This window comes from Homo sapiens, chromosome 1 (genome assembly GCF_000001405.40).
Source record: "Homo sapiens chromosome 1, GRCh38.p14 Primary Assembly".
Classification (NCBI taxonomy): Eukaryota; Metazoa; Chordata; class Mammalia; order Primates; family Hominidae; genus Homo; species Homo sapiens.
In genome coordinates, this window is record NC_000001.11 from 22,694,079 (window position 1) to 22,703,722 (window position 9,644).

Sequence of the window (9,644 nt, forward strand, 5' to 3'; positions counted from 1 at the left end):
TTACAAGCAAGCCACGAAGTCCAGGCCACCCTCAAGGGAAGGGAATTAGACTCCACCTTCTGAAAAGAGGAGGATTTAAGGATTTAAATAATTCAAAGCCACTACAGCATGAGGTTAGCATGAGGGTAACACCTAGCAGAGCGTCCGGCCCACAGTAAGGACCATAATGATTTCCCATGCTTGCATTTCATTTGACAGTTAACAGGGTACTTTGCATCCCTTGCTGCATTTAATGTTCATAAGAGCCCTATGCTATCATTATGTCCATTTTACAGATGAGGAAACTGAGGGTTGGAGAGAAGTGACTTGCCCGTAGTCACACAAACATTTGGCAGCTCGGGGGTTGGAGCCCTGCCCATCCTCAGCCTGGTAAGGGAGCAGTGAGCCAGGCTTCTCCTGGTATTGCTTCCACATGAGATGGGAGTTCAATTTCTGCATTTTAAAGTACCTGGGGCTGGGCGCAGTGGCTCACACCTATAATCCTAGCATGCTGGGAGGCCGAGGTGGGTGGATCACGAGGTCAGCAGTTCGAGACCAGCCTGACCAACATGATGAAACCCTGTCTCTCCTAAAAATACAAAATTTAGCCGGGCGTGGTGGTGCATTCCTGTAATCCCAGCTACTTGGGAGGCTGAGGCAGGAGAATTCTTGAACCTGGGAGGTGGAGGTTGCAGGAGCTGAGATCACGCCACCACACTCCAGCCTGGGCAACAGAGTAAGACTCCATCTCAGAAAAATAAAAGTATTATTAATAATAAAGTACCCGGCAAGCCCGGAAGCCATGGAAAGGTAGCAGGCCACAGGCAGGGGCAGTCACTCTTCCCAGAGCAGATGATAGGACAGGATGCCAGGGGCCTGGAGAGCACGTAGGAGGGGTGGGATGAGACAGGGTGTGGCCAGCGCAGAGAGGCCACGATTCAGGCGTGAAGTGCTGAGGGATGAGGGCGGGGAGGGCGACAGTATCTGAGCACATACTGAGGCAGGTCGGCATGTCACCTCAGCCTGGAAGGGGGTTCCAGCAGGGTGCCCAGGAGGACAGGTGCTCTGGGGTGGAGTGGTACAGGTCAGTGGTTGACTTGGAGGGGTTCTTTGGAGATGCCCTGCCACCCCGCAAAGGAGGCAGCAAACCTTGAGAACAAGCCCAGGGCTTCGAGGGAGGCTCACCTGGGGCCAACCCCTGAATCTACCACCTCCCAGCTGTGTGCCCTTGAGTAATCCTTAACCTCTCTGAGTCCTGTCCACCGACCTCCTCCTTGAGTCCCCCACACCCTGTAAACACACATCTATTGGGACACCCAGAACACACCGTGACACTTGTTTGTCTCCACAAGGCAGAAAAGCCCACCTCTCTGGAGCTGTGCTATACAATACAGTAGCCACGAGGCACGTGTGGTCATTTAAAGTCCAATTTAAATTAATTACAATGAATTAGAATTAAAACTGCACTTGCTCAGTCGCCCTAGTCATAGTTCAAGTTCTCAATAGCCACATGTAACTTAGTGGCTACCCTACTGGACCCTGCAGAACGGAACAGTTTCATTATCGCAGAAAGTTCTCAGACAGCACTGGTCCAGAGCCTCACTGTGCAACCAAAATATAAGGGAGCTGCATGTGGAATTTTAAATTAGAAAATTTAGCGATGTTAATAAAAGTGAAATGAGGCCGGGCACGGTGGCTTACGCCTGTAATCCCAACATTCTGGGAGGCCGAAGAGTGCGGATTGACTGAGGTCAGGAGTTCAAGACCAGCCTGGCCAACATGGTGAAACCCTATCTCTACTAAAAATACAAAATTAGTGGGGCATGGTGGTGGGCACCTGTACTACCAGCTACTCTGGAGGCTGAGGCAGGAGAATTACTTGAACCTGGGAGACAGAGGTTGCAGTGAGCCGAGATCATGCCACTGCACTCCAGCCTGGGTACAGAGTAAGACTCTGTCTCAAAAAAAAAAAAAAAAAAAAAAAGTAAAATGAAACAGGTGAAATTAATTTTAATAATATTTTATTTAGTCTGGTATCTTCCAAATATTATTTCAATATTTCACCAATATTAAGGAAAAAAAAAACACTTCAGCCAGGCACAGTGGCTCACGCCTGTAATCCCAGCACTTTGGGAGGCTGAGGCAGGAGGATTGTTTGAGGCCAGGAGTCCAAGAACAGCCTGGGCAACATACAAGATCCCTATCTCTAGTTTCTGAAACCAAAAACAAAAAAAACCTCTCTTAATGAGATATTTTACATTCTTTTTTTCCCTTAGCCTTTGAAATCCCATGTATATTTTACGTTTACTGCACATCTCAATTCAGACTGCCACATTTCAAGTGCTTGATAGCCACATGTGGCCAGTGGCCACTCTATTAGACAGAGGAGTGCTCAGGTCCTTGAGCACAGACCCAGGTACCTGCAGAACTGGGTGTGAATTCTGCCTCCTTCATGTGCTGCAGTGCTGTGTGATCCTGGACAAGTTATTTAGTCTCTCTCAGTCTCAATGTCCTTATCTGTAAAGGGGCTGTGATATTCTATATGTGACATTATTATATATGTGATACTGTTAAATTCTATATGTGATATTATTTATTATATCTCTAACTGATACATTATTATATCACCAGCCAGTGATTATTATGAAGATCAACGAAGAGTATGAGCATAAAGTCTGTTGCACAACGTATGCTACAAGGTCACTCTTTTTTTGAGACAGGATCTTGCTCTGTTGCCCAGGCTGTAAGTGCAGTGCCTCCATCATAGCTCACTGCAGCCTTGGCTTCCTGGGCTCAAGTGATCCTCCTACTTCAGCCTCCTGAGTAGCTGGGAGTACAGAGGTACACCACCACTGCTGGCTACTTCTTGTGTTTTATTTTATTTTTTATCTATCTATTTTTTTGAGACAGAGTTTTGCTCTTCTTGCCCAGGCTGGAGTGCAATAGCACGATCTCAGATTACTGCAACCTCCGCCTCCCGGTTTCAAGCAATTCTCCTGGCTCAGCCTCCCAAGTAGCTGGGATTACAAGCATGCACCACCACGCCCAGCTAATTTTGTATTTTTATAGAGACAGAATTTCACCATGTTGGTCAGTCTGGTCTCAAACTCGTGACCTCAGGTGATCCACCCACCTTGGCCTCCACCACCACACCTGGCCTATTTTTTAATTTTTGAGACAGAGTCTCCCTCTGTCGCCCAGGCTGGAGTGCAGTGGCATGATCTCGGCTCACTGCAACCTCTGCCTCCCGGGTTCAAGCAATTCTCCTGCCTCAGCCTCCTGAGTAGCTGGAATTACAGGCGCGCACCACCACACCAAGCTAATTTTTGTACTTTTAGTAGAGACAGGGTTTCACCATGTTGGCCAGGCTGGTCTTGAACTCCTGACCTCAAGTGATCCACCCACCACAGCCTCCCAAAGTGCTGGGAATATAGGCGTGAGCCACTGCACCCAGCCTAATTCTTGTGTGTTTTTTTGTTTGTTTGTTTTAGAGACGGGGTCCCACTGTGTTGCCCAGGCTGGTCTCAAACTCCTGGGTTCAAGTGATCCATCTGCCTCAGCCTCCCAAAGTGTTGGGATTTCAGGCATGAACCACTGCACCCGGCCACAAGGCCACGCTGGATAAATGCTACCTGTGGTGGTCTACTTATGCTACCTATTAGAGGTCTGACTACCCACCAGACTGTGAATTCTTAAAGGGCAGGGACCAGGGTCTCTTCATCATCTCTGCCCCTCCCTGTCCATACCCTTTCCCCACTCCCCTTCCGCAGCACCTCATCCAGAGCTCCCCTCTTTGTCTGGCTTCCTTCTGAGGTCAGACAGGTGCCAAGTTGTTCAGCTTTGGTGCCGCCCACCCCCAGGGCCTAGCTCAGGCTGGGCCAACTCAGGCTTAGCAAACATTTTCAGCCCATGAGGCAGTTGGTGGTTCAGCAATCGATTGCCCCAGGGTGGGTGGGAGTGGAAAGAGAAGCAAGTTCTGGGCTGGGAGACAGACGACCTGCTGGTAACTGTCTGCTGTGGTGGCTGGGTTACTTTCCCTCTCTAGGCCTCAGCATCCCAACTGTAAAATAGGCAGGTCAAACCTGATGAATGTCAGAGCTCTTCTATAGCGTCTATACTGCTGGGGAGATGAGGGCCCCTGACCAGCCAGGATCTGCTCAAAGGTGGGAGGACAACAGACACACCCCTCCTGTACACACACACTCAGGCATGAAATGGGTGCATTCGTATGTGCCTCTATCACGGGGTTGTTGTAAGCCCTCAGTGAGCTAATAAAAGGCTCAGAACAGTTCCCAGCTCCTGCTGTAGGTCCTCTCCAAGCATTTGCTGTTATATTACTCTTTGCTGTTGTAGTGTGTGTATGTGTGTGTGTGTGTGTGTGTATATGTGTGTATATATATGTATATATAAGTATATATGTATATATATAAAAATTTGCTGTTATATTGTGTATACAAAAAATATTATTACATTACATGAATTATTGTTGTATTTATTCCATACGGAGCAAGTAGATGAAGAGGCAAGCATTGGTATGATTGAGCTGAGTCCCAGGCCTTTACCAGACTTTATCTCATTCAATCCCCCCATCAACTCTATGAGGGTACAATCATTGTCCCCCATGTCACAGATGAGGAGACTGAGCCTTAGAGGGGTAAAATGGCTCACCCAAGGTCACACAGCCACCAAGTGGTGGAGCAGGGATTTGAACCCAGTTCTGATTCCAAAACCACCGCCCTTTCTCCTGTGCCTCACTGGCTTCTTGGAGAAGAATTATTAAGCTCTGCATCCTGTGGCTGGGTTCCCTTCAGGGTGACCAGTCTAATCTCCCCTCTGTTAGTAAAACCTACCCCTAGACTCTCTCTAGAAGTTCTAGTCCCAGGCAAACAACAGATGCCGGGGAGGATGTGGAGAAATAGGAACGCTGCTTTTACACTGTTGGTAGGAGTGTAAATTAGTTCAACCATTGTGGAAGACAGTGTGGCAATTCGTCAAGGATATAAAACCAGAAATACCATTTGAGCCAGCAATCCCATTACCGGGTATATACCCAAAGGATTATAAATCATTCTCCTATAAAGACACATGCACACGTATGTTTATTGCAGCACTATTTACAATAACAAAGACTTGGAACCAACCAAATGCCTATCAATGATAGACTAGATAAAGAAAATGTGGTACATATACACCATGGAATACTATGCAGCCATAAAAAAATGAGTTCATGTCCTTTGTAGGGATGTGGATGAAGCTGGAAACCATCATTCTCAGCAAACTAACACAGGAAGAGAAAACCAAACACCGCATCTTCTCACTCATAAATGGGAGCTGAACAATGAGAACACATGGACACAAGGAGGGGAACATCACACACCAGGGCCTGTTGGGGGGTGCGGGGAAAGGGGAGGGAGAGCATTAGGACAAATACCTAATGCATGCGGAGCTTAAAACCTAGATGACGGGTTGATAGATGCAGGAAACCACCATAGCACATGTATAACTATGTAACAAACCTGCACGTTCAGCACATGTATCCCAGAACTTAAAGTAAAATAATAAATTAATAAATAAGAAGTTCTAGTCCCAGGCTGCACCCTGTTAAGTCAGGATTCTTCCAACTGCCACGCCATAACCCTAGACTCAAGAAAGGACACAGTCCCAGCTGTAGCCTTGGTGGAGGTTTTCTGGAAATGGACAGGTTTTTAAAATGGCGAGAACAACCAGGAGCTCAGAAATCTCTCGCCTCCCCTCCGCCCCCACCCCCGTCACCATCCACGGCCTCATTTGCATAATCCCCACAATCCAATGCAGACCCAGCTTCCCTTTGTGATATTAATTAAGAGGAGGAAAATGTCCTGGACAAGAACTGGCTCCCGTTTTTCAACCATTGTCCCTTCATGCCACTCCCCACTGCTTCATCCCTCCCAAATGTGTCATGGGTATGGTGCAGAATCGGAATTCAGAAACAAAAGGTTTGACCCGCTACCCATGTGCCCCCCATTCCTGTGTCCCCCAGGGGCTGCCTGGGCCCCTGAAGCCAATGGAAGAAGGCCTGCCCCTGCTCAGAGGCCATGGACCGATGGGTGCTGAATGCTCAAATGTGTGATAAAATAGGCCATTTGCATTTAAATATTAACCCTAGAGGAAAATAATAGACTATTAGTTAATAAACGGAATTGACAAGCTGGCTGCATTCCAATTCCACCTCAGACAGTTGCAGTGCTCAGCTCGGCCCAGCTGTTGAGATGGTCCTAGAAAAACGGAAACCACCCGCCTTATCTCCTTGGACTCCCCTTGGGCTCCTTGTCCCAGACTTCCCAGTTGGAAATCTTAGGCCAACTGCCAATTCCACTCCATGAGCTGGAGAACATCTCACCATCATTGCCCACTAACTTGCTGTGTGACCTTGAGTTGGTTACTTTCCTTCTCTGAGACCTAGTTTCTTCATTTATAAAATGAGAGGGATGGAGAAGTTGATTCCAGGCTGGCTCTTCCAAATCTAAAGATTCTAGCGTTCTGGCCGTGTATGGTGGCTCATGTCTGTAATCCCAGCACTTTGAGGGGCTCAGGTGGGTGGATCATCTGAGGTCAGGAGTTCAAGACCAGCCTGGCCAACATGGTCAAACCCTGTCTCTACTAAAAATACCAAATTTAGCTGGGCATGGTGGCAGGCACCTGTAATCCCAGCTACTTGGGAGGCTGAGGCAGGAGAATCGCTTGAACACAGGAGGCAGAGGTCGCAGTGAGCCAAGATCACGCCACTGCACTCCAGCCTAGGTGACAAGACTGAAACTCCTTTAAAAAAAAAAAAATAGATGATAGCATTCTGTCATCATCAATATCAAGAACATGGGTTGAAAACTGACTATAGGCACAGTTCACCTCAACATTTTGAGGCCTATTTCCTGGGAACAGAGTCTATCCAAGGAACATCTGTGAAGGCTGAGAAGTTTAGGCTCACTACCCTCAAAGCTCCTTCTCCTTCCTTTATCTCAGTTCCCCTCCTGGACCCCAAATGCCTGTTCCCATCTGAATGCAGAGATAGAAAAGCACTGGGACATCTGAGTTCTACTCCTGACACTGCTCCAACCCACCATGAGACCCTGGCCAGGGCTCTACCCTCTCTTAGGAGACCCAAAGTCAGCAGGGCTTTGGACTGGCCAGGGGCCCAGGTGGTACTCCACCCACACTGGGCTGAGGTGCTGACTGGGCCAATCCCAGTCTCTCCTGAATGGCACAGAAAGAGTCAGGCAGACGAGGTGGGTACTGAGAGGGAGCAACCTGCCAAGAGAAGGAAGGTACAGAGTCTTTGTCAAGCATCCTAAGAGAATTTGGGGCAGTGAATAAGATGATGTTTGTAAAATGCTCAGCACTGCCCCTGGCACCAACTCGTTTTGTTTTGTTTTTGTTTGTTTGTTTGTTTTGAGACAGGGTCTTGCTCTGTTGCTCAGGCTGGAGTGTAGTGGTGCAATCATAACTCACTGCAGCCTCAACCTCCTGGGCTCAAGGGATTCTCTCACCTCACCCTCCCAAGTAGCTAGAACTACAGGTGTGCACTACCACGCCCCACTAATTTTTTTATTTTTATTTTTGTAGAGACAGGATCTTGCTATGTTGCCCAGGCTCATTTTGAACTCCCGGCCTCAAGTGATCCTCCCACCTTGGCCTCCCAAAGTGCTGGGATTACAGGTGTGAGCCACCACGCCCAGCCAGTAATTGTTATTATTATCATTATCTCAGTAGCTACAGATGCCTTTGATTCTCAATAACTACAAGTCCTATTCAGGCCCCCTAAGGCTTTTGCTGGGTTCCAATAAGTCCTGATCACAAAGTAGAGATTCCTGGGTTTTGATTGCCTTATGTGTCCTTCCAAAAACTCCTTAGTCAATTTCTTGCAATCCAGAGAATCATCATGGCTCACATGTCACTACCTCCTAGAAGCCTGCCTGCTTATCATCATGTCCTCTCCTCTCTGTCTGTCCAACCAACCAACCATCCATCCATCCATCCACGCGTCCATTTGGCAAACACTTCCAGAACGTCTTCTTTGCCTGGTCCTCTTTAAATGTGAATCAGCTAAAACCTTTCCAGAGAGCTTAGCTACACCCACACCCAGTTCCATGACTTTTTTCTTCTCACGTCCAGGGTCCTTAAAAAATGGGACCTGTGCCTTACCCTTCTGTATGTGTCCCCAACCCCAGTGCCCAGCCTAGTCTGGATCTTTTCTGTGATTGTACCCGGATAGGGGACAGCTGTCCTGGCCTTCAGAGCCTCCACACCCAGCTCACTCGCCCAGCTCCCCCACCCTGCTGCACCTCTGTTACCAGGAACCCATCAAAACAGCATTATCAAACTCCAGGAGAGACGCAGATTGGGAAACGGTCGGCCAGGGGAATAGCCATAAAATTCTGTGTGCTCCTGTGGGGCGCAAAGATCAAAGTATCCCATATCAGTCTCAGTATACAACCGTAACAACATAACAACCTTTTACCTGGATACGGCACTCCACAGTTGACAGAGGTGTTTCCCATCTCCTGGCTTCTTTCATCTTCCAACAGGGCCCCTGGCCACAAGGAAACTGAGGTTCAAGAAGTTACACAACCACCCAAAGCCACACAGAAAGTAAAGGGCTGAGTTGGGATTTCAACTCGTTTCTCCTGACATTAAATCCAGTGCCTTTGCAACCATATCATAGCTACAAGCTTCGGAAAGGCCTTAATCTGGGGAATTGGGAGACCTGGCTCCCAGCCCAGCATTCAGGAGTCTGTTGAGCGACCTTAGCTAAGTCACTTCCTCTCCTGCCTGCAGTTTCCTCCACTGTAAAGTGAAAGGGCTGCCAGGCTCACAAGGTTGTTGCAAGGATTAAAGCAGATGATGGGTGGGAACAGACTGTGGAAACAGGCTACCCACTGAAGCTAGACACCCACCCACCCACCAGGAGCCTCACCTACAAGCTAGACAAGCCAGGCCCTCCCAGCTCCCAGGAGGAAGTGAGTCTTTGGCTCCACGTGGTAATGGAGCTACTGGGAGCTACATGGCTCACAGCTACTGGGTAGCATTTTACCACTTATTTCCTATGCCAAGAAGGTTCTTTGTACTGGTGGGAGAGAAGTTTCCATTCATTCTAGCAAGCAATTAGTCAGTGCCCATGTGTCAGGCCCTTTGCTGGACTTGGATTCAGGGGTGAACAGAATGTAGTCTGCCCTAGGGCAGCTTCACGTATGGATGGGGCATGAACTCGCAGGGAAAGGAAATTGACATTTCACAGGTATTCTCTAATGCCAGGTATTTTCTGTTTGTCGTTGCATGCTATGCTCATCACGAACCTATAAGGATCTGGTCCACTTGACAAATAAGGAAATTTGAGGGCTGGGTGCAGTGGCTCATGCCTGTAATTCCAGCATTTTTGGAGGCTGAGGTGGGAGGATCGCTTGAGCCCTGAAGTTTGAGGCTGCAATGAGCTATGATCACGCCTCTGTACTCCAGCTTATGCAACAGAGTGAGACCTATCTCTAAAATAAAAAAAAAGAGAGAAAAAAACTGAGGCTTAACGAGGTTGAGTATTCTCCCTGCTCAAGATCATGCATGATTCTAACACATCCCTTCCCTAACTCCAAAGGCCACACTCTTTCTGCTCCTCAAGGCTACTTTGCAAGAACATA

The 9,644-nt window shown here is 48.1% G+C and overlaps 2 annotated features.

The window, feature by feature from the left end:
- Positions 503–1,003: an enhancer, noted in NCBI's record as "H3K27ac hESC enhancer chr1:23021074-23021574 (GRCh37/hg19 assembly coordinates)". NCBI's record gives its function as "activates a minimal SCP1, AML or CMV promoter by ChIP-STARR-seq in primed H9 embryonic stem cells {active_cell/tissue: H9 hESC(primed)}" and the evidence as "EXISTENCE:reporter gene assay evidence [ECO:0000049][PMID:30033119]".
- Positions 1,004–1,504: an enhancer, noted in NCBI's record as "H3K27ac hESC enhancer chr1:23021575-23022075 (GRCh37/hg19 assembly coordinates)". NCBI's record gives its function as "activates a minimal SCP1, AML or CMV promoter by ChIP-STARR-seq in primed H9 embryonic stem cells {active_cell/tissue: H9 hESC(primed)}" and the evidence as "EXISTENCE:reporter gene assay evidence [ECO:0000049][PMID:30033119]".